At 53.8% G+C, this 23,581-nt stretch overlaps 1 protein-coding gene across 2 annotated transcripts in view, besides 4 other annotated features; it reads left to right on the plus strand.

The window, feature by feature from the left end:
• The window catches only part of KCNK3 (potassium two pore domain channel subfamily K member 3), a 40,699-nt gene extending 27,452 nt beyond the window's left edge, over nt 1–13,247 (plus strand). Inside the window, exons 1-2 of one of the 2 annotated variants that reach the window (XM_005264293.3) lie at nt 936–4,387; nt 7,494–13,247. In XM_005264293.3, coding sequence (XP_005264350.1) covers nt 7,541–8,395 — 855 coding nt within the window. In that variant the 5' untranslated portion in view covers nt 936–4,387; nt 7,494–7,540 and the 3' untranslated portion in view covers nt 8,396–13,247. Of the gene's footprint in view, nt 1–935; nt 4,388–7,493 lie in introns of those variants that run through there. The other variant, NM_002246.3, reaches the window with a different exon arrangement.
• Nucleotides 3,439–4,638: an enhancer, noted in NCBI's record as "P300/CBP strongly-dependent group 1 enhancer chr2:26946480-26947679 (GRCh37/hg19 assembly coordinates)". NCBI's record gives its function as "activates an origin of replication core promoter dependent on BRD2, BRD4, P300/CBP, MED14 and CDK7 cofactors, with strong dependence on P300/CBP, by STARR-seq in HCT116 cells {active_cell/tissue: HCT116}" and the evidence as "EXISTENCE:reporter gene assay evidence [ECO:0000049][PMID:35650434]".
• Nucleotides 17,761–18,261: an enhancer, noted in NCBI's record as "H3K27ac hESC enhancer chr2:26960802-26961302 (GRCh37/hg19 assembly coordinates)". NCBI's record gives its function as "activates a minimal SCP1, AML or CMV promoter by ChIP-STARR-seq in naive H9 embryonic stem cells {active_cell/tissue: H9 hESC(naive)}" and the evidence as "EXISTENCE:reporter gene assay evidence [ECO:0000049][PMID:30033119]".
• Nucleotides 18,262–18,762: an enhancer, noted in NCBI's record as "H3K27ac hESC enhancer chr2:26961303-26961803 (GRCh37/hg19 assembly coordinates)". NCBI's record gives its function as "activates a minimal SCP1, AML or CMV promoter by ChIP-STARR-seq in naive H9 embryonic stem cells {active_cell/tissue: H9 hESC(naive)}" and the evidence as "EXISTENCE:reporter gene assay evidence [ECO:0000049][PMID:30033119]".
• Nucleotides 22,278–22,783: an enhancer, noted in NCBI's record as "H3K4me1 hESC enhancer chr2:26965319-26965824 (GRCh37/hg19 assembly coordinates)". NCBI's record gives its function as "activates a minimal SCP1, AML or CMV promoter by ChIP-STARR-seq in naive H9 embryonic stem cells {active_cell/tissue: H9 hESC(naive)}" and the evidence as "EXISTENCE:reporter gene assay evidence [ECO:0000049][PMID:30033119]".

Consider the following 23,581-nt stretch of genomic DNA (forward strand, 5'->3'; position numbering starts at 1 on the left):
GAACCCAGGAGGTGGAGGTTGCAGTGAGCTGAGGTCATGCCACTGCACTCTAGCCTGGGCAACACAGCGAGATTCCGTCTCAAAGAAACAAAACAAAACAAAACAAAAAACGAGTGGGTTGAACTACGTTGTCACACCAGGACTGATCGCTCCTAAGGTCCCTATCCCCAGGCACCCAGAGCAGCCCTGGGGTGCCTCTGAGGGCCTCTGCACAAAGCCGGCCTCTGGGATGGGCCAGAAGGAGCTGGCCAGGGAGGCAGGCCTGGCTCTAGGCCAGGCTGTGTCTGCAAACACTGACCTTGGCTGCCGCAGGGATTTTCCATGACACCAGCACCCTCCCTCTGAGCTCCCTGCATCACACATGGGCCTGAGGAGGGTGGGGGATGGGGGCTTTGGGGGTTTGTCCTACATCAGAGGCCCCAAGATCAGTACTAGGGCCACCTGTGGATGGGAGGCAGCTCAAGGCAAGAGAGGAGACAGCAGTGGGCCCAAGAGTGGGGAGTCCAGGAGGAAGCATGGGGCAGGGAGAGAAGCTGCTGGGGGTAGTGGGGGGAAGAGCTGGGAGAGGAGATGGGACAATGGGAAGAGAGGCCTCGGGAAGGGGCAGGGCAGAAGAAGCGGATAGGTGCTGTGCTTCAGAGCTGTCCTTCCCAGGAGCTCTGGCCTGAAGAGGGACAAACTCCAGATCCCATTCTGTACATTGGTCCCACCCCTACCCCAGCTCCATGAGACCCGGTGGTTCCCAGGCCTAGCTAGGGGCTTGCCCAGGCCCAGTGCAGGGGGGATTCCTTCTGAACCTTGAAGCTGACCTCATTTTGAAGGGGCCAGAGGCCACAGTGAAGGCAGGAGCTATGAGTCACCCGAGGCCCTCCTGCCAAGGGCCACCTCCCGTCCCCATCCTGGATGTCTAAGGGGTGGTTTCTCATCACCATCCCAGACCTCAGAGTCCTTCAGAACTGGAGCCTCTGGGTTCTGCAGCCCTCCCACCCCAGGCCTGTGCTGGACACTGAGGGGACAAGCCAGCCCTGCAGGACTCCTCTGTGGACATGAGTGCCCAAATACAGGGTGGGGGCCTGAGAGGGGCAGAGGGAGGAGAGGCCTCTTCAGTGCCCAGAGAAGGTTCCCAGAAGGTTCTCGGGAAAGGCAGTGTCTGAGCTGCATCTCACAGGAGGAGGGAGAGCACCTGCGCCCTCCTCCCGTCTCCACCAAGCTGCAGCCCCTCCCTCCTCTCCTCCCCCAAGACCTGGGCACAGAAGCTAGGCTCCTTCCGCCTCATCTCCTTTAACATGCCAATTAGGCTCCCTCAGAGCCTGCAGTCCCACTTCCTGGTTCCACACTGCTGCCATCCCCACAACTGAGGGGCGGCTCCATGTCTGTGCCTCAGGCGCCTGAGCTGGTTCCTCGTGGGCCCTCCCCTGGGTGCCCTCTGAGCCCAGCTGCCCTCTGCCATCCAGCAGGGGAGCCCAGCCTTCCTCTGAGGGCCCTCCCTGTGTCTTGCAGCCCCCAGAGCTGCCTCTGTCTCCCCCAAGCCCGCACTCCTCTCTGGCTGCCACACCAGGCCCAAGCCACACTGAGGTCACTTCGGCATCAGCCCAGAGTTCACGGCCTTTGGGCACCTCAGGCCACAGGTCCCTCATCCACCTTCCCTCAGGACAAACATTAGCCCAGCCATTGCCTATTTACATTAGATAACTAGGTCAGCCTGGAGACAGGCACAGCTGGCATTGCCAAGGGCTGTGGTTTCTAATCTACAGAAGGGCTGGGCCACCCAGAGAAGGAGATCAAAGAATCATATCGTCAGAGACCTGGGGGAAGGACCTCAGAGGTTCTTGATACTGCACAGGAGCGTTTCCCAAACTGTGCTCCCAGAAACACTTGCTCGGTAATGTGCACTATGAGAAAAGTGCTCCACGGTCAAGGAAGTGGGAAGACAGGCACCTTTTCCTGGCCTTGATCGACCTTGCACATGAACACATACATAGCCCTGAGAAAGCCTAGGCTCAAATCAAATGATGGTGAATCCTGTTAAATTCAGCATTTCCCCAATTTAATTGAGCCAAGCAACTCTTTTCTCATCCAACAGTTGTTAACATTCCATGGAACTGGTATTTCAGAAAAATAACTTGAGTAAACACTGATCATAGAATGTTGGCACTGAAAGGAACTTTAAAGATCATCAAATCTTGGTGCTCCCCAAAATATTCATATTAATAATTCATATTTATTGATCTCAATGTCCTAAGCATGTTAAGTCTATGAACTCAATCAAGTCCCCACACCAAGTCTATGAAGTGAGTACTTCATTATTCCCATTTTACAGACGAGAAAACTGAGGCACAGTGGATTAAGCAGTGTGGCCAAAGATAAAGTTGTTTGGCTTCAGAGCCTGTGATCTTCTCTACTCCACTAAACTGCAGAGATCCTCTCCCTGTGTTCAGTATTTCAAACATACAACAATAACTTAACTCCATCTCAAAGAGTCAATTATCTCAGGCTAATCAGACTTTCTGACTGGCAGATGTGTGCTTAATTAATTTTGATGGGGAAAGAAATTAATTATGGTTCTAACAATGATTTATTCAGTGCCTGCTCTAAAGAGTATCCACACTGCACTGATCACCACATCGAACTTCATAAATAAAATCTTCCAAAATTTTGCCTCTGTGAATGGGTGAGTGAACAGAGAAAATAATAAAAGGCAGTGGGAAAAGCTGGGAACCTCATCTCTTGCCCTATCTTCCATGTCACAGATGAGGAAACCTGAGGCCCAGAAGGAACTTGCCAAGACACAAAGCTGTCTTTGATCAGGGTCAGGTCAGACCCCAGATCTCCTGCCTCCTAGCCCCATGCTCTTTCCTCTGCCCAAGGCTGTGGCCAGCATCCTGGCCTTGTGGCCAGCTAGGCCAAGGGTAGGAGGTCAAGCAAGCAGACTAGCAGGCATAGGAGGCCAGTGGGAAACAAGCAGCCAAGCCCAGTCCAGCCAAGGCCATGACCAAGGGCTCAGAGTGGCTAGTTGTGCTTTGAATAGAAGGAAATAAGCCACAGGGAGAGAAAGACCAGTAAAAGGGAGGACCAGACCCAATCCCACTCCCACACCACCATCCCCACCCCGCATCTCCCTGGAAGACAGCTTCAGCCAGTTTCTGACCTCCTTGGTGATTCTGGGAGGAAAACAGAGGAACTGAGGTGGCCCAGGGTTTGCCTCTGATCTCTTGGTTTTCCTGCTGCCCTAAAATATTTACACTAACAATTAATTTTTATGTCCAGCCACCTGGCTTCCTTAGGTGGATTCTGTGCCTCCAGCCAGGGTCCCAGGCCACCTCTTAGCTGAGTTGCTCCCAAGTAGGAGCTGCTGGGCCATGATTGAATGAAGAGGCCCTGGTCATACCTGAGCTGGAGGGCAGTGGACAGAGCATTGGTTTTAGAACCAAGTATCCTGGGTTATAATCCTGGTTCTGGCATTCACAAGCTGTGTGACCTTGAACAGATTGCTTTCCCTCTCTGGGCCTCCATTTCCTCATCTGTACGATGTAAAGACTGAACCAAATGATGGCTAAGGGTATTTCTGGATCTGAGAACCTTAAAACCTATGTTGGATTCAGGGAGAGGAGGCTGGGAGAGGAGGCGGTATGGATAGTCCTGGTAGTTTTCTGAGAGGCAGTGGCCAGAGTCTCCCGGTCAGAACATCTGCTCTGGTTGATCAGCCCAGCAGGTACTGCGAGAGAGGGTCCTCAGAGAGTCAGCCACACAGAAGGACAGATGCAGCCCCTCACCCAGAGACTCGAAGGCCTGGACAGAGGAGAGAAGATAGAGAACACCTTTTGCCCCCTGCCTCATAAAGCCAAGCGCGACATGGGCAAGGACCAGGCAGGCAGCGGGCCTGCTGGCAGGCAGACGGGTCTTGCCAAACTCCCACTTACTTCCCAGAAGCTCCAGGGCCCCCTGGGAGTGGCTCCACCCAGCTGGCACCCCTCCAAGTTGGGCGCCCACGTCAGCAGGTCCTCACACTCCCTTGCCCTTTCACCCAGTGACAATGGGACAGGCAATGGGGTGGGGGGCACCCTAAGCCGGATACTTGGAGAAGCGTCTGACTGCCTGAGCATGGCCCTCCTGTTACCACCTCTGCTGCAACTGGCTCAGAGCAACGCCTGAGGCTGATGCCCAAGTGAAATGCTCTCCTCCCAAGGCCTCCCGGCCTGGTCGCCCTTCCTGGGTGATGCATTGGCTCCCACGTACCGGAATGAATGCTGAGTCAGAAAGGCCCAGTGGCCTTGGCCAACACCCAAGGCCTCTCTGGACTTCATGACACCAACTGTAATATGAAGATAATCATAATAGTGACCTTGTAAGAAGTTTTTGAGGATTAAGTTAAAAATACATCTGAAGGGTAAGAACTTATTATTCTTAAGCCTCAGCCTGCGGTAGGAAGTGAGATTGAGCCCTGGGGGCATGTGACCCCAAAGAGGAGGCACATCTAGGCCAGGGCTGCCTGGACAGGGCAGTGGCTGTGGTGGAGCATGAGGTGCTGCCTGGGATAAGAGCCTCTGGTTAAGCCTGGATGTGTCATTTGCTTTGAAAGTCACTAAGTTCAACAGGATGAAGGGCAGAGGAAGGGGTTGTCACTTGCAGCTGAAGCTGGGTCCTGAGGAGCTAGGTCTTTGTGGGCTGGGGTAGGAGAGGCGAAGGAGGGCCACGAGGCAGTGTGGGAAGCACTGTGGAGAGGAGGGGCCGGCTTGGCTGGGTGTGGGCTAAGGACGGGTCTCTGGGGTGGCCGCAGGGTATAGCAAAAGAAGGGCAAGGAAGGGATGTGTGGCTCCTTGAAGCTGGGCGCTTTGTGAGCACAGTCACAGTGGGCAGTGAGGCTGCCAGACAGGGGGCACTGGCTTTTCCTAAGAGACGGTGGGCCCAGGGAAGTCACGGCCTATGACAAACACAGGACAAGGGAGCAGTGGTGGCAGAGAGGGGGTGAGGGCCCCTGATGGTGGTATGTGTCTGCCTGACCCCACAGAGATGGCCCTGCCCCCAGGCCCATGCTCTCAGGTCACCCTTCCCCTGTGAGATCCCACGACCACTGCTTCCATCTCGCAAGCTACAGCTTCCAAAGAGCTCTAACGCCCAGTCTCTCCTGTGCTCCTGCAGAGGGCTCTGGCGGGCAGCGAGGGTGGGGGTTAATAGCTCTAGCTCAATCTTCCAGAGTGTAGGAAAGACAAGTGAGCCCAGAGAGGGGTAGGGATTTGTCCAAGGTCACACAGCTATCACGTGGCCAAGCTGGGGCTATGTCCATGCTCCCTACTTCCTGTTGAGCCCCATCCATGGTGCCATGCCCTCCCCTCTCCACCAAGTAGTGCCGGCCTGGAGGACAGGGAAGGACGGGATGAGAAGCAGCTCTGGCTCAGGGCCTGCCCAGTTGTCGAGGTGAGTTGTGGTCTGGCTGCCATGGCCCAGCTGGCGGGCACAATCTGTTCTCACCCTACTGGAGCACAGACGTCCTAAGCACAGTGGCTCTACAGCTCAGCTGTCCAGGTCCCTAGCAAATGGTGACACAGTTACTGGCCCGACGCTGTGGAGGGGGTCAGGGGAGCTGGTTCTAAGGGCAGCCCCAAGCAGCTGTCCCCAGAGCTCCTTGAGCTTTAAGATCCAAATGGCCCTGGGTTGACAGAGGTGCCAGCTTTACTGGAACTGAGCTGCCCTCAAGCCTGGCTGCTCTCTTGGAAACATGACAGTAATCTGGCACTTCACTCATTATTAATCACAGTGAGCCATTATTGAGCACTTGATAGGTACCAGGCTCTGGGCTAAGTGCATTACACACATGATCTTACTTATTCCTCCCCAAAGTCCTGTGAGGCAAGTGTATTATTAACCCCATTTTATAGATGTGGAAACTAAGGCTCAGAGAAATCATGCATACACACACACACACACACACACACAGAGAGAGAGAGAGAGAGAGAGAGAGAGAGAGAGAGACAGTAAGTCCAGGACAGAGTCACACAGTATCCTGCCTTGCAATTTAGTTATCAAACATATTCTGGGCCTCCATAGGTATGGCTGGCAATGTGGAGGTAGAAGCTAGAGAGGAAAGTGACAAGACCCATCAGTGCCACCCCTTCCCCCCAAAGCTAGTGTTTAGCTCTATGTAGTTGGGGATCCTAGAGGACAGGGGGTGGTGGTAATATTGGCCCTGGAATTACAAGCTGAACATTTTCAGTGCCACTCAAATAAGGCAGAGATCATAAGCTGTGAGGAATCCAGGAGGACTGCATGGAAGAAGAAACATTTGGTTAAGATTTGATAAGGCTTAGAATGGAAGAAAATGCCAGCGTCATTTTATTATCATAATTATGTTAATAAAAGTAGTAAATATATCAACAATAAAAGAAGCAGGCCAGCACCAGTAAACACACTTTACAAATGAAGAAACATGTTCAGAGAGTGGGAGTAATTTGCCCAAGGTCACACAGCCACTAGGGCCCTGTCACTAGGGATGAGTTCCCATCCAGGGTCATTTTCCCTCCAGTTAGCCGGAAGAATTCTCAACTTAGGCTTTGGAATGGCTGGTGCAGAGGGAACATTTGCCTCTGCCCTGATCTTGGCTCAGGGTGGGCCAGGGTGGGGGCGGGGTACAGAGAGATTATCTGGCTGATGATAGTAACACACCTGGAAAGACACCGAGGGCTCCTGCTTTGCCAAGGGTAACACCACCTCCCCATGAGGACAGATCCTACATCAGGTCAAGTACAGAGGAAGACCCCAAGGCCTCCAGTTGGAGGCTGATGGGGACCCTGGAACACTCATTCATCCTGCTCTTGCAGGGAGGGGCAGGCAGTCTCCTTTCTTCTGTGGCACAGTGGGCCAGCTGCCCCAGGGAGACTGAAGGGCCCTTGTTGCCAAGCAACCCCACATAAGCTTTGGCTGGCAGCGGGGAATCCACCAAGAAGCCAGCCCTGCCTCAGTCTCCCTTCCTGTACACTGGATCACAGGATGTCAGAAACCATTCAGGGCAACCACCTCACCTTGTAGTCAAGGAAACTGAGGCATGGAGAGGACAAGGACCACGCCCGCAGCCCAGGACACTGAACTAGAATCCAGCTCTCCCAGCTGACCTGTGCCCTCACACTCTCCCTGTGCCTCTAGACAAGTTCTCAGCAGCACCCAGGCCACCCCTTCTCTAGGCATACAAAACAGTCCCGTCATTGAGGTCAAACGGACTCGAGTTCAAACACGGTTGTTCTGCTCCCAAGCCGTGTGACCTTGGAAGTCATCCCTCCTTATTTCTTCCTTCCTACATACCTTCTGCAGGTGTCACAAGAGTACAATAGAAAGCATGAGCCAGGGCCTAGCACAGTGCGTGGGGATAAGGAGCGCCCATCACTGTGGACCCAGACCCACAAGGTGGGGGAGGTGGCGGGGCAACGGGGAGGGAGAAGAAGGTTTCTGGAAGGGCAGCCCCAAAATGTGTGCTTTTTCTCCTCTTTCCCACTTTCCCCCAGGCTACGGGCACGCGGCACCCAGCACGGATGGCGGCAAGGTGTTCTGCATGTTCTACGCGCTGCTGGGCATCCCGCTCACGCTCGTCATGTTCCAGAGCCTGGGCGAGCGCATCAACACCTTGGTGAGGTACCTGCTGCACCGCGCCAAGAAGGGGCTGGGCATGCGGCGCGCCGACGTGTCCATGGCCAACATGGTGCTCATCGGCTTCTTCTCGTGCATCAGCACGCTGTGCATCGGCGCCGCCGCCTTCTCCCACTACGAGCACTGGACCTTCTTCCAGGCCTACTACTACTGCTTCATCACCCTCACCACCATCGGCTTCGGCGACTACGTGGCGCTGCAGAAGGACCAGGCCCTGCAGACGCAGCCGCAGTACGTGGCCTTCAGCTTCGTCTACATCCTTACGGGCCTCACGGTCATCGGCGCCTTCCTCAACCTCGTGGTGCTGCGCTTCATGACCATGAACGCCGAGGACGAGAAGCGCGACGCCGAGCACCGCGCGCTGCTCACGCGCAACGGGCAGGCGGGCGGCGGCGGAGGGGGTGGCAGCGCGCACACTACGGACACCGCCTCATCCACGGCGGCAGCGGGCGGCGGCGGCTTCCGCAACGTCTACGCGGAGGTGCTGCACTTCCAGTCCATGTGCTCGTGCCTGTGGTACAAGAGCCGCGAGAAGCTGCAGTACTCCATCCCCATGATCATCCCGCGGGACCTCTCCACGTCCGACACGTGCGTGGAGCAGAGCCACTCGTCGCCGGGAGGGGGCGGCCGCTACAGCGACACGCCCTCGCGACGCTGCCTGTGCAGCGGGGCGCCACGCTCCGCCATCAGCTCGGTGTCCACGGGTCTGCACAGCCTGTCCACCTTCCGCGGCCTCATGAAGCGCAGGAGCTCCGTGTGACTGCCCCGAGGGGCCTGGAGCACCTGGGGGCGCGGGCGGGGGACCCCTGCTGGGAGGCCAGGAGACTGCCCCTGCTGCCTTCTGCCCAGTGGGACCCCGCACAACATCCCTCACCACTCTCCCCCAGCACCCCCATCTCCGACTGTGCCTGCTTGCACCAGCCGGCAGGAGGCCGGGCTCTGAGGACCCCTGGGGCCCCCATCGGAGCCCTGCAAATTCCGAGAAATGTGAAACTTGGTGGGGTCAGGGAGGAAAGGCAGAAGCTGGGAGCCTCCCTTCCCTTTGAAAATCTAAGAAGCTCCCAGTCCTCAGAGACCCTGCTGGTACCCAGACCCCCACCTTCGGAGGGGACTTCATGTTCCGTGTACGTTTGCATCTCTATTTATACCTCTGTCCTGCTAGGTCTCCCACCTTCCCTTGGTTCCAAAAGCCAGGGTGTCTATGTCCAAGTCACCCCTACTCAGCCCCACTCCCCTTCCTCATCCCCAGCTGTGTCTCCCAACCTCCCTTCGTGTTGTTTTGCATGGCTTTGCAGTTATGGAGAAAGTGGAAACCCAGCAGTCCCTAAAGCTGGTCCCCAGAAAGCAGGACAGAAAGAAGGAGGGACAGGCAGGCAGCAGGAGGGGCGAGCTGGGAGGCAGGAGGCAGCGGCCTGTCAGTCTGCAGAATGGTCGCACTGGAGGTTCAAGCTAACTGGCCTCCAGCCACATTCTCATAGCAGGTAGGACTTCAGCCTTCCAGACACTGCCCTTAGAATCTGGAACAGAAGACTTCAGACTCACCATAATTGCTGATAATTACCCACTCTTAAATTTGTCGAGTGATTTTTAGCCTCTGAAAACTCTATGCTGGCCACTGATTCCTTTGAGTCTCACAAAACCCTACTTAGGTCATCAGGGCAGGAGTTCTCACTCCCATTTTACAGATGAGAATACTGAGGCCTGGACAGGTGAAGTGACCAGAGAGCAAAAGGCAAAGGGGTGGGGGCTGGGTGCAGTGGCTCACACCTGTATTCCCAACACTTTTGGAGGCTGAGGTTGGAGGATTGCTTGAGCCCAGGAATTTGAGACCAGCCTAGGTGACATAGTGAGACCCCATCTCTACAAAAAATAAAAAATTAACCAGGTGTGGTGGCACGTGCCTGGGAGTCCCAGCGACTTGGGAGGCTGAGGTGGGAGGATTGTTTGAGCCTGGGAGGTCGAGGCTGTAGTGAGCCCTGATTGCACCACTGTACTCCAGCCTGGGTGACAGGGCAAGACCCTGTCTCAAAAAAAAAAAAAAAAATGGCAAAGGGAGACAAGAGCCCAGCCTGCTTGTTGCTAGCCAAAGTGTTCTTTCCTTCCAGCTTGGCCTGCTCTTAAAAGCAAAGCTCCTGCAGTGTACATCCTGGCATTGTGTGGCTACCTGGGTTTTAAACCAGAATCAGAAGTCCCGGATCAGAGGGCACTGCTGAGGTTCAGCCTCTTCTCTTCTTGGCCAGGAGGCAGCAGCTCTGAATGGGCCCCTGAGGCTGCACAGGGGCCTTTGTCACTGGGGCGCATGCTTACAAACAGTGCAGTTCTTGGGACCGAGGTAAGCAGGGCTGGGTCTCATGGCAGAAAGGCCAGGATCTGGGGCTCTAGGAATTTGGGAATTGGGCAGAGTGGCCAAGAAAGCTGGCAGGCATATCCTATGGGACATCACACCTGGCACCATTGTCATTGTTGGTGCCTGTGTCCCAAGTAGCTAGTGATAAGCTGAGGCTGCAGCAAGAAACACCCTTCCCAGGTGGGGGAGTTTGGACCAGAGGTGCCCTCTGCCCACCACACCTGCAACCCAGAAGCCCAGATGGAACGCAGCTGACGAAGGTGATGCTTGAGGCTCACTTTTGGGGCCCCACAGCTGGAGCCGGTATAATGACTGGGACAACATCAAGGGGTGGATGAGGGGCCTCTCCTCCCGCAACACTGCCTTCCCATGCTGTTCCCCTGCCAGCTCCTTAACACTGCCGACCAAGGCCAGCCCTGGCATTCAGGGAAATTGGAGGGCAGCACCCGTAGGGTGGCCAGCCTCAGGCCCCACCCCAGCTGTGTCCTCTAGTCTCTGGGGACCCCTGGGGGGAAGAAGTCTACCCTGCTTGTGAGTCCCGTCTCAGTGTGGAGGAACTGGCTGCACGTGGGACCTGAAGGTGCCCTCTGTGTTTATGTTGGGGGTGGGGGGGCAGTGCTGGCTGCCTCTGTCCTGTGTGTGACCCTGCCCTCGAAGGGTCCTGTCCTGTCAGTCCCGAGGGAGCCACAACCAAAGCTGCGGAGAGAAGGTGGGGAAGGGTGCAGAATGGCCGTGGGGCACAGCGTGGCAGACTGTTCAGTCTCTGCTGGGTCTTTCCTAGGGACCTGGAAGGCCAGTGTTGCTTCCCCCTCACTCCCTTTCACTGCAGGCAGCCTCTCTGCTTCCCCAATGCCTTATGCCTGGGCACACTGCCACAGAATATGCAATATGTGTGGGTGACCATGCCCTCACGACCACACCCCCACCCCGGGCAGCCCCCGGACTCCAAAGGTCGTGGCTGCCACAGCCTCCCTCAGCTCTTCCTGCCTATCTGTCTTCACACTGAGAATGGCGCCCAATAAATGCTATCCACGGAGACCAGGCTCAGGCTCCAGCTGCCTCTGTCATCGTATGCCCTTGCTGCTGCCAGGGAGGGGCCATCTCCCACCCCCTCCCCTGCCGGGGTCTACAAACATATCTAGCTGCTGGGTGCCGTGGCTCACACCTATAGTCACAGCACTAGGCGGGCAGATCACCTGAGGTCAGAAGTTCAAGACCAGCCTGGCCAACATGGTAAAACCCCGTCTCTACTAAAAATACAAAAATTAGCTGAGCGTGGTGGCGCATGTCTGTAGTCCCAGCTACTCGGCTACTCAGGAGGCTGACGCACGAGAATCGCTTGAACCCGGGAGGCGGAGGTTGCAGTGAGCTGAGATCGTGCCACTGCACTCCAGCCTGAGCGACAGAGTGAGACCCTGTCTAAAAAAAAACAATAATAATAAAATAAAATAACATACCTAGCTGACTCGCCATGGGCTCGCTGGCCTGTGGGCGACACTGGCTTCCCTTTTGGGATTTCCCAGAAGATCCAGATTTTCTTAAGTCCCCTTGGAACAGACTAAGAAAGGATCACCTTAGAAATCACCTGGTCCTATTGTCCCCCCCGTACATGAGTAACTGAGGCCCACAGAGAGCAAATCGCCTGCCTGAGTCACACAGCAGTGAGTGGCAGACCTAGGCTAGGAACTAGGACTGGGGATTGCTATTCCAGTGCTCCCCATCCTCACACAGACTGCACAGTCCGCCTGGACACACCCCAGCTGACAGTGGTACCTCCCAGTCAGCCAGGAGAATGGATTCCTTCTCCTGCAGTAGGGGCCCCCTGGCTGAGTGGCCTGATTGACTAAAACATATGTCTTTGAAGGAGAGTGCATCACAAGCACCTTTCTTTGGGGTAGATTTTTCTCTGGGTCTAGAGGGACAGCTCAGGCTTGGGACTGGGCCTCAGAACCTACGACAGACCGTGAGAGCAGACCCACCTTATCCATCTGGTGCCAGCTCCCCAGGTCAGCTACAGCGACCCCCGGACTTCATAGAGTACAATCCACAGTAATAGCACACAGCTCTGTACCTATCTAGCTCCATGCCTATCTATCTGCCTACCTTTCACAAAATAATTCTTAGCAACCCTGCTACAGCCAATGATTCTAATACGTTCTGTTCTATTGCATGTTATAAAATGCTGGTCACGATCCACTAAATTGATGTCTCTACCTGCTAATGGTTTAATACCTGCAGATTGAAATATACTGGAGAAATAAAGAGAGTGGGAGTAGGGACACTTTCTCCCAGTGCCCACACCGCCCCTCGTTACCCGCATAGGTCAACTGAAAGATACAGAGAGGGAAGCTTTGATGGGGGGTTCAGAGTTCAAAGGAAGAAATGATGGCACCTGCACTCCCTGCCCCCAGAGGCAGGACACAGCCAGCCCTCCTGTGACAGCACTCCTGGCAGCTCCTTGTTGGCCTGCAGCCCTCAGGGGGCTTAGTTGCCATTGACTCACCCACTCCTAAGGCCACCACATCAAAATCTGAGGCTTACTGCCCTGTCCCACCTGCCTCTGTCTTTCTTAAAACAGCTAAATGCAACAATAGCAGAAATTAGCTTGTTTTTGAGGTTGGCAATGACCAGTTCAAGGTGACTCTTATTTTCTTAAGCAGTGCTTGCAGGACATAAATGTGATGACACTTGCCCTCCTTTCTTTATCGCCTGGGACAGACTTTACAAACAGACCTGGGAGAAGTCCCCTAAGGGGCTGCATTTATCCCCATCTCCCTAGGGGTGATCAGCATTGTGACAGCTGGGCAGAGCAGTGGTGAACTGCACCCATGTCCCTGCTCACATCTCCTAAGATCTCAGAATTGCCTGAGGTTCTAGCGTGGGCTCCTTCTCTCCAGATGATGCCATCCCCACCCCCCTCATTTCCACACAGCATCTGAGGCATCCTGCACTAAAAGATATATGTACAGCAAAACAAAAATAGAAAACCAGCACAGCAGAGTGGAGGTGGGGTATAAATATACCCAGATCCCCGCTGATTTGGTTACTCGGGGTGAGCATCAGATGGAAATAGAAGTTTCCGGGGGCCAAGAGAGAAAGAGGGATGTAACGACAATTCTTTTCAAAACGTGTCCCATGGTATGCCTCGTGGAAAAAATGGTTCGTTGGTCAAATGAATTTGGGAAAATGCTGTCAATATCACCGACTCATGGAGCTTCGCAAGGCATCTTAGCTTAATAAAGGTTATGAAAAGTCTTGCAGCAAAGATGCTGTTTACCCCTGCTTAATCCAGCACTGCCCAAACTCATTCCAAATACCAGAGCCTCTGTTTGCACGACATCTCTCCGAGCCCTGTATGTCACAGCACATGCTTTGGGAAATGCTGATCCATCGAAATCTCACTGATGAAGAGAGAAGGCTGATCCTTCCTCCTCACCCCACACTAAATTATAAAAGAAGTTTAGCTTGCAAGTCCTTCTATAAGTGAAGACTACAACAATATAAAATACATATGTTATTCTCAATTGCGTGCCAGATTCGACCAAGGCTCAAAGCAGCCCGCTTGCTCAATATCAGGCAGTGAATTGATGGCAAAGCGGGGATTTGAACACAGGCCGATGGCTGCGAGGCATATGCTCTTACCCACCTGCTGTGTACTGTCCCATGATGATCCACATCTTCAGCAAAGGTGTGGCAGAAGTTCAGAGCTATTTATGATGTGGTCATTTCTTATTCAGAACCTCGGTGAGAGAGGAGGCTGTAATCTAAAGATGTCATCCTTCAAAGATGACAGATTCCATTGGAGCTAAGAAATCCTATTCTGGCCGGGTGCGATGGCTCACCCCTACAATCCCAGCACTTTGGGAGGTAGAGGTGGGCAGATCACCTGAGGTCAGGAGTTTGAGACCAGCCTGGCCAACATGGAGAAACCCTGTCTCTACCAAAAATACAAAAATTAGCTGGGTGTGGTGGCGTGCACCTGTAATCCCAGTTACTCAGGAGGCTGAGGCAGGAGAATCACTTGAACCTGGGAGGCGAAGGTTGCAGTGAGCCGAAATCATGCCACTGCACTCCAGCCTGGGCGACAGAGTGAGACTCTGTCTCAAAAAAAAAAAAAAAAAAAAGAAAGAAAGAAAGAAAAGAAATCCTATTTTACCTCAGGCCCTCACATTCCCACATTTAGCTCTTTCTGCAGGCTCAGCATTTCCCCCTACCCCCAAGCCCAGTAGCCTTCCCATAACTTATCTCAGGAAGCTAGAGGCAAGAGAGGGTTGTCCAGGGCCAGGGAAGGATGTGTTTAGGACAGACAAGTTGGCAGAAGAAAGAGGCACTGCCGACAGTGACCAAGCCAAGCTCCCTCCCTTGCAGCTCACATCACCATTTCCATTGAGCAGCACAAAGCTGTGGCCCCCTCTCAATCCCAAAGCTGGATTCAGGTAAGAAGTTGGAATGACTCTGTTTCTCAGGTAACCCCTGAAAAGTTCAATCTGTCGTGGACTCAGTACCTTCCTCTTGCCCAGTGAGGAAGGAGCCTTGATGCTGGAACAACAGCATCTTTTATTATTATTATTATTATTATTATTATTGAGATGGAGTCTTGCTGTGTTGCCCAGGCTGGAGTGCAGGGGCATGATCTTGGCTCACTGCAAACTCCACCTCCCAGGTTCAAGCAATTCTCCTGTCTCAGCCTCCCAAGTAGCTGGGATTACAGGCGCCCATCACCACACCCGGCTAATGTTTGTATTTTTAGTAGAGACAGGGTTTTACCATGTTGGCCAGGCTGGTCTTGAACTCCTGACCTCAAGTAATCTGCCCGCCTCAGCCTCCTAAAGTGCTAGGATTACAGGCGTGAGCCACCGAGTCCGGCAGCCATTACTTTTTCTCAAAGGTTGCAAAGATACACACACACACACACACACACTCACTCAGATAATTGTTCCAGCTCCTGTTTCAGAGGAAGGGATTTTGGTTCGAAGTGGAAGTGACATATTCAAGGTCATGAAGCGAGATAATGGTGTAGCCAAAATTAGTATCCACATAGCCCAACTTTCCAACACACACACACACACACACACACACACCAGTAAGGGCCCAGCCTTCTCTGACTCTGATTTCAGATGAAAACTGCTAATCTCTGAGGTTGAGTCACTCTGATGCTGGAAATTTACCACATCCACATCTGGACAAACACAGAGACTCACACTCCTGCCTCTCAGTCTCCCAGCTGCAGGGGAGGGCCTCGTGGGTGGTGCCAGCCCCTTAGGGCAAGGACTGTGATGGAATTGACCTCCGTGACCCTCTCTGGCCAGTGAACAGCACCCCCTCGAGAATCCATATGAACAGCATTTTGCAGTTACAGAGCTCTCACATCACTCTCTCATTTGATCATCAGAACAACACTGTGGGGCTGGGTGCGGTGGCTCACACCTATAATCCCAGCACTTTGAGAGGCCAAGGTAGGCAGATCACCTGAGGTCAGGAGTTCAAGACCAGCCTGGCCAACATGGCGAAACCCCATCTCTACTAAAAATACAAAAATTAGCCAGGCGTGGTGGCGGACACCTGTAATCCCAGCTACTTGGGAGGCTGAGGCAGGAGAATTGCTTGAACCCAGGAGGCGGAGGTTGCAGTGAGCCGAGATTGCGCCATTGCACTCTAGTCTGGGTGACAACAGCAAAACTCTGTCTCAAAAACAAAAAACAAAACAAAACAAAACAAAAAGAACAACGCTGTGGTTTAAGTGAGGATTAACACCCCTGTTTTACAGATTACAAAACTACAGTTTAGAAAGACCCAAGGTCCTGCAGGCAGGGACTGTTCCACATTCACCCTGTATGTGAAGCACTGGGCAGAGCCACAGGCATTTCCATGGTGATGGATGTGCTGGGCCAGGGCTGCAGCCCAGTCACAATAGCTCTGGGCCAGCAGTGTCCCGCTGTTCACCAGCCTCCCAGCTCACTGGGCAGCTTCCCATGGGTGGAGGAGCCCCCAGGTGGACACGGTTCACAGAACCCATCATCCAAAGGAGACAGGAGTTAGGAACACTTCACCCACTTCACCACATGTCCTGAGCAAACCCTGCCCAGAGCCTAGACTCGCGACCAACGGCAGCAAAATGTTCAGCCAATGACCTCTGCCCTTTGGCTGGAGGAGACCAAGGTTCCTGGGGAAAAGGTCATGCCTTTGACCGGGCTGACTCCCCAAATCAACACTCTCCCACAGTTGTTTCCTGGAAGAGGAAACACGTGACCAGGCCACTACTGACTATGGAATACATGCTGGACAATGGGAGTGAGAGGGCCCCCAGAGACCCTTGCCACCTTTCCCCATGCTCTTTGCCCTTGTTCAAACAGGCACTGGGAGCAGAGCAGTGAGCTCATTTCAAAGTAGACATCCAACCTGGGAAAAAGATGCCATCTCCCCTTCCTGCAGTTTCTATGAGTGATACCTGGGAGCCTGCAGCTCCAACTCTGCCAGGTTTCCTCTCTGAGGCTGACAACCCACAACTAGAGGGATCCTCCTTCTTTTCTTTTAGTTATCCAGGCTGGGGAGAACTGAGAGCATCTCTTTGTCCTTGGCTGTGCATACTGGTGGCAAATTCCAAGACAAGAGAAAAAATCAGTGTCTGTTAACCTTTTTTTTTTTTTTTTTTTTGAGATGGAGTCTCACTCTGTGGCCCAGGCTGGTGTGCGGTGGCATGATCTCAGCTCACTGCAACCTCCGCCTCCCGGGTTCAAGCAATTCTCTTGCCTCAGCCCCCTGAGTAGGTGGGATCACAAGCACCTGCCACCACACCTGGCTAATTTTTGTATTTTTAGTAGAGACGGGGTTTCGCCATGTTGGCCAGGCTGGTCTTGAACTCCTGACTTCAGGTGATCCGCCCGCCTCCACCTCCCAAAGTGCTGGGATTGCAGGTGTGAGACACCATGCCCAGCCTGTTACCTTTTGAGCCAGGCCTCTCCTGTGCCGAAGCTGAGCAGTTACCCTTTTTAATATCAGCGCCAGACTGCACTTTAGTGCCACTGAGCAGCTCCAGGCCTTTGATGAGGCTTCAGGTGTTGAAGCCTGGTTCCACATTAAATCTCTTCCTGCTCTCTCCTGGCCCCACATCACCCACTAATTTGGTAATATAGCCTTCTGTGCCATTACTCAAGCCTTTGATGAAAATATCAGAGGACAGAATCAGATAAGGGACCCTTAATTCAGGGTGACATTTATTCTGGCGTGTTCTTGGTGAACTGTTGCTGGCTCTGGCTACTCATCACTCCTTTTATCTGTTCTTGAAAATTATCTGTTTAATCAAAGCCAGCAGGTGGCTGGGCTCCAGTCACATCAGCACAGCTTCCTAGTCCCTAGATGTCAGTGACCTGGAGATTTGAACTTGCTAAAGATAGAAGGTGCTTCCTGGCTGGGCGCGGTGGCTCATGCCTCTAATCCCAGCACTTTGGGAGGACAAGGCGGGCAGATCACGAGGTCAGGAGTTCGAAACCAACCTGACCAACATGGTGAAACCCTGTCTGTACTAAAAATACAAAAATTAGCAGGGAGTGGTGGTGCGCACCTGTAATCCCAGCTACTCAGGAGGCTGAGACAGGAGAATCGCTTGAACCCAGGAGGCGGAGGTTGCAATAAGCCGAGATTGCGCCACTGCGAGACTCTGTCTCAAAAAAATAAAAATAAAAATAAAAATAAAAAAGGCACTTCCTTCCCTGACTAAGCTTTCACCCTTTCTCCCCCAGCCACCACCACTTTATCTGGGCTTCTTCATTTAGCCAAGCTCTGCCCAGCCCAAACCCCATCCCTAGCTCCTGACCTGGGCATGGCCCTTCCCAGCCCGTTCCCAGCTCAGACTTGAGCCCCTTCCTCTCTCAGGCACCTGTCCTGTCCTTGAAGAGAGGGAGCAAGAGGGCTGTCCCTTATCACTCAGGACAGCCTCCAAGGACTGAAATGTGCCACAGGAAACTTGATGGCCAGGGCTCTTAGATCAGTTGGGGCTGAGGTGTGTGGAGCAAACAATAGATATGAAGCATGTGCGAGGAGCTGGGCTAGGAGTGCTACTCAATTCTCCCAACACCCCTGCAGAGGGAGGTACAATTATCCCCATCCAGAGGTGAGGAGACTGGGGCTCAGGGAGGTCACCTTACTTATCCAAGGTCACCCAAGTGGCAGAACCAGGTTTCGAATCCAAGGCCACATGGCTCCACCTTCCACATCCATCCAGCCACCACAGTCTCTGGCCCTTGGGGCCACATTGTTTTCTTTGCCTTCCCAGGTGTGCCCCCCAACCTCATCCCTGCCCCTGAGCAAATGGGGATCCCAGATGCTGCTTCAGCAGCTTCTGGAAGGCAGAGTAAGCCAGAGCCCATCCCTTCCTGATCCTCCCTTCCCAGAGGGAGCAGCAGGTTGGTGGGGTGACATCAGGCTGTGGGGGAGCCACTTCATTGTTCCTGAGACCGAAGTGATTTGGAGTTAATCTCCAAATCTGGTGCCACAGACACAATAGGAACCCACTGCCACCGCCCCCTCCAGCCTTATCATGGTGAACAGATGGGCAGACCCCTCTCCGGGGTCTAAGTAGGGCATTGCTGAGGTTGCTGGGAGGCAGGGAGGGAGGCCAGTTGGCCATGGTGGGGGAAGGGGACAGTGGAGACAGTAGGGGTGGGACAAACCCAGCCCCACCCCACCCTTCCCTAGCCCCCCAGGGTGGATGGGATTCAAGCGTCAGCGCTCTGCTGCCACAATGGGCTGGCTCCAGCAGATCCTCAACACGCATTTCAGGGGACCCATGCACCCAGTCAGGCGACCATACAGACAATGCTTCAGGTCCTTTCTAGCTCCAAATTCTGTAGCCTAAGCTCACCGGAGCTGAGGGTCTACAAACTTACCACTTGAATTCCAGAATGAGGCTTGGGCAGTGCAGAGCCCAGCACCCCCAGGTCCTGAGCAGGCCCAGCCTCTGCCATTGGCCCTCACTGTCACAGGAGCACAGCATTAACAGAGAAAAATGAAGGAAGCCAACTGTTAAAGCCAAGGGCCCCTAGGAACTGTGAGTCCAATGCTTCATGTTTCAGAAGAGAACAGTAAGACAAAGAGGGGAGGGAGGACGGGCGCGGTGGCTCACGCCTATAATCCTAGCACTCTGGGAGGCCAAGGCAGGCAGATCACCTGAGGTCAGGAGTTCGAGACCAGCCTGGCCAACATGATGAAACCCCGTCTCTACTAAAAATACAAAAAAGTTAGCCGGGCGTGGTGGCGGGTGCCTGTAATCCCAGCTACTCGGGCGGCTGAGGCAGGAGAATCACCTGAACCCAAGAGGTAGGGTTGTAGTGAGCCAAGAATGCACCATTGCACTCCAGCCTGGGCGACAAGAGTGAAACTCCGTCTCACAAAAAAGAGGGAGGGAATGGGCCTCTGGGCTCCCTGGCTAGCGCTCTCCCCTATCTGCACCAGCTTCAAAACTCTATCTGTAACAGGCCAAAACTGGAAACAGCCTGCGTGTCCATCCACAGGGAAATGGATACATTAGCCGGGTATATGTGTGGCAAGGAATACAATACAGCCATGAAGAGGAAGAAGCTATTGAAACACACAAAAAGCAGAAGGAGTCAGACAAACAGGGGCACATATGGAAGGATTCCATTACTCTAAAGTTCCGGAAAACAGAAGCTAATCTAGAGGGGCAGAAAGCAGATGAACAGTTGCCCTGGCCCAGGGGAGGAGGCTGGGATTAAAAAGGTGAGCAGGCCAGGCGCAGTGGCTCACGCCTGTAATCCCAGCACTTTGGGAGGCCGAGGCGGGTGGATTCCTTGAGCCCAGGAGTTCAAGACCAGCTGGGCAACATAGTGAGACCCAATCTCTACTAAATAATCAAAAAAATTAGCCAGGTGTGGTGGCACGCACCTATGGTCCCAGCTACTCAGGAGGCTGAGAAAGGAGGATCACCCGAGCCCAGGAAGTCTAGGCAGCAGTGAGCCATGATTGTGCCACTGCACTCCAGCCTAGATGAGAGTGAGACACTGTCTCAAAAAAAAAAAGTTGAGGGGGCAGGGGGCGGGGAGCAGGAGGGGAGCAAGGGAAGGTTTGGGGCGAAGGATGCATTTGCTCTCTGTTATGGCTTCACATGTATATACATCTGTCAACTTACCAAATTCTGCATTTTAAATATGTGTAGTTTATTTTATGTCAGTTTTATCTCAAAGAAGCTGTTTAGGAAAAAACAAACCATAGAGGCTTTGCACACGGCCCAGCAGATGAGCTAAGCACTCCCACCTACACCCATTTTGTTCTGATGGCCACGGTAGGGGGTGTAAGTCCCCCATGCCTCTTTATGAGAGGGTCAGCGGGGAGGCCATCAATGCTTCTGGTCAACTTCTGCCCACCCCAGACCAGGCCAGCTGTCGGCACAGGTGTCGCTAGTGTCACTCGAAGCTGGACACATATCAGTATATGGATGTAACAAGCAACCATGAGGTCCCCATGGGGTGTTGCTGGCACAAGCCAGACATCAAGCAAAGGTCAATGGGGCAGGAGCTAATCTAAAACACTGTGCCTCTGCCTAGGCAAACAGGGTCTCTCAGGCCCTAGCAGGCTGAGGGTAAATGGAAAATCCCCAGAGCCCATGAAACCCCATTTCTTTGGCTGTTTCTTCGCCTATTAAAATTACTCTCCCATCTTTTTCGAGGAGTCCCAAAGGGTCTCATCCCATCTAAACCACTATGGGGTAACCTCTGCCTAGGCTGGCACGCACACCAGGGTGAGGGACAAGGCGCCATGTGGCCCAATCGTTCTGCCACCTGCCGCTTGGGGCTGGAGCTGCTCAAGGAGACAGGCTCCTCCTCGCCTACAGCTGTCAAGACAGGCGGACCATCCTGCTGCTCAGGCTGCAGAGTCTGCCCCAATGAGCACAGTCCTCAAACCCCACCCACCTACTGTGACACTCCCTCCTGCAACTTCAGAGCATGTTGTCTGGTGCTCCAAACTTTCGTGGTGGGTTTAGTGAAAACGCTTTGGATTTGTACTCACAGCCCCCTCTCTGTGACTTAGCCCTCTCTCCTGAGTGCATGAGGACTGGGCTGTGTGGCAGGAACCATACAAACCTCAGTGCTATGCTCTGCTATGCTTTTATTTCCCTTGTGGTCTGCCTGCTTCCCTTCAGATGAGGCTGGCCAAGAAGCACCACAGACCCTGATGCAAAATTGCCCCTAAAGCACTTCAGCCCGACCAGTCAGGTCTGCATTCCTGGATAAGCCCAATGCTGACCCCATGGGGACCCCCACTCCCTTCTCCAGTACTAGGAGCTGGGCCCCAGGGAGGGACTTGGATAGGACCCGCTCGTGTCTGCCACCATGAGTGTGAGCACAGGGCTGATGGAGCTTTGCAGAGAGAAATGAAGGTCAAGGTGTGTGGGCTGAGTGCCAAGTGAGACAGAGAGGGCTCCAAGGCTGGGGAGGTGTGGACATGGGGCCGGGGCTGGGCCTGACTGAGCCTGGAAGGAATGGTGGGATCTAGCACATGGCAACAGCATTTCAGGTGTAGGAAATTGAGCAAAGGCCCCATAGGGGAATGTTCCCAGAGTGCTGGAGAACAGTGAGAAGAGCCCGGGGATCTCCTTAGGAAGGGGAGGGAGTGGGCTCCATGAGTCCGGGGCTGTGTCCATCTCATTTGTGGTTTTATCTCTGGAGCTTCATGCCATACCTACACTTAATAGGCATCAAAGATGGTTGTGAAAGTGTGGGGAGGAGGGAAGGAGTAAGGAAAGGCAGGGGAGAATGGAAGAGACATTGGAGGCATCCACCAGACAGGATGTTCAGCTCTTAGCTGTTACTCACAGGCAACAGGGAGCCAGCAAAAGTTTCCGAGTGGAGGAAAATTTCATGGAATTTAGAGTTTCTAGAAGATTCACCTGGCATCACTCACTCCTGACAGATGTTCGTAGCCCAATGCCTGCGCTCTGTAAGATCACTCTCTCTACACCAGCCTAGGCAGGGGAACGGCAGGAGGGCACATAGCAAGCCCTTCTCTGTGGGCTGGGAGGGCCCGGGATGCCCCAGCTGTTGCTTCCAGAGCTGAGAACAAGCTACTCCCCTGCCTGGCAGGGAGGCCAAGGAGAGCCTGTGGCACAGCCAAGGGAGAAGATTGTCAAAACACTGTAATGGAATCTTCCGGGCTGTCCTCAGCCTCGCATTTGCACAGCGGCCTCCAACTCAAGAATCAGATGTCCTGATAGTCATGCCAGTGGCCTCGGTGGCCCCAGCAGCCCTGCCTTCAGGGCAGGGAGCAGGAGCCGTGACGGGCAGGAGTGTGCTGAGGCTGGGATGGGCCAGTACCACCTGTCCACCTGGCTCCCTCACCACTTAACAGCTTAGGAGCCTCGGAAGGCCCACAACCCACCCCTAGGACGCCACCTCCCATGGGGTCAGCCCATGGCTGGGAGTGGTTGGGGCTCCAGGATGCTGAGGGCAGATCACTGCCGGGGCCAGGCTGCTGTCAGGCCATCCCAATCCAAGCATCAAAAGTGAACAGCAGCTCCCACTTCCCCCTGCTCTGGGCTGCAAAAATGGACCTCGTAATCGACCATACCAGCACAGTACTTACTTTCTAGTGGACCCTTCCTTCTGTCCACTCTCTGAACCTGTGAGGTGGGCAAGGCAGTCAAAATCGTGCCCACTCTGTGAATGAGGGCTTCATGCTTCCACTAGGCCAGTGGACCTGTCTAAACCCCACGGCTAAAATGCTTAGGAAGGGGGAGCTTCGGCTCCCCAGCCAGCCTCAAAAAGGGCCCTCAAAGCGTGAGGAATGGATCTTCAGTGGAAATGTACAGAGTCTCACAGTGGGACCAAGTATGCCTGCCTTTATAGAAAGGACCTACAGGGACCACCTCTTCCTCCCCTCCATTTGCTAATAAGGAGGATCGATACAGAAAGCTCAGATAAGCTCAGAGTCACACCAGAAAAGTAACAGAGCCAGGCTAAAGCCAAAAAGCCACTCTGATTTGGACAATCATGGAGAGGACTTCTCCCCTTCCTTCTGGTTGGTTCATGGTGAAAAATCTGACCATGGCATTCAGACAAAGCCTCATGTTCATGAGGAGACCCTGAAAGCAGTCAGGAAGTCAGCCGAGGTCCCCAGGGGACACCTGCAGCAGGGCCATGAAGGATGACATGGTTCCCCTTCCCTGCCTCAGTCAGCACAGAGCAGAACAAATCCTCATGCAAGATTTGGCCAGAGCTGGAAGGAGCCCCAGAGGCATCTCAGCCTGCCTCATTTCACCCCTAGGGAAACTGAGGCCTGATAAGGACCCAGGAGGCGGTCATGACCATCTGTACTTTCAGTTGCCATAAGAGACCAACAATCCGGGAGCGATCGGGACAGGTGAGCCAAGGAGGTCCGCAGCAGGGGCAGGGGTATGTGTGGGTACTGTTACAAAGGGCATAGGCCTAGCTCACTACCTCCCCTATTCTCACAGCGCAAGAGACACTCTGAGGCCTGTTGCCCGAGGGGCCTGCGGGCCAAGTTCAGATGATCTAATACAAGGAAGAAAACCACTACCTCTGTTGAGTTTCTATCAGATGCCAGGCAGGAATCACCATGCCCAACTTA

This window comes from Homo sapiens, chromosome 2 (assembly GCF_000001405.40).
Source record: "Homo sapiens chromosome 2, GRCh38.p14 Primary Assembly".
Lineage (NCBI taxonomy): Eukaryota > Metazoa > Chordata > Mammalia > Primates > Hominidae > Homo > Homo sapiens.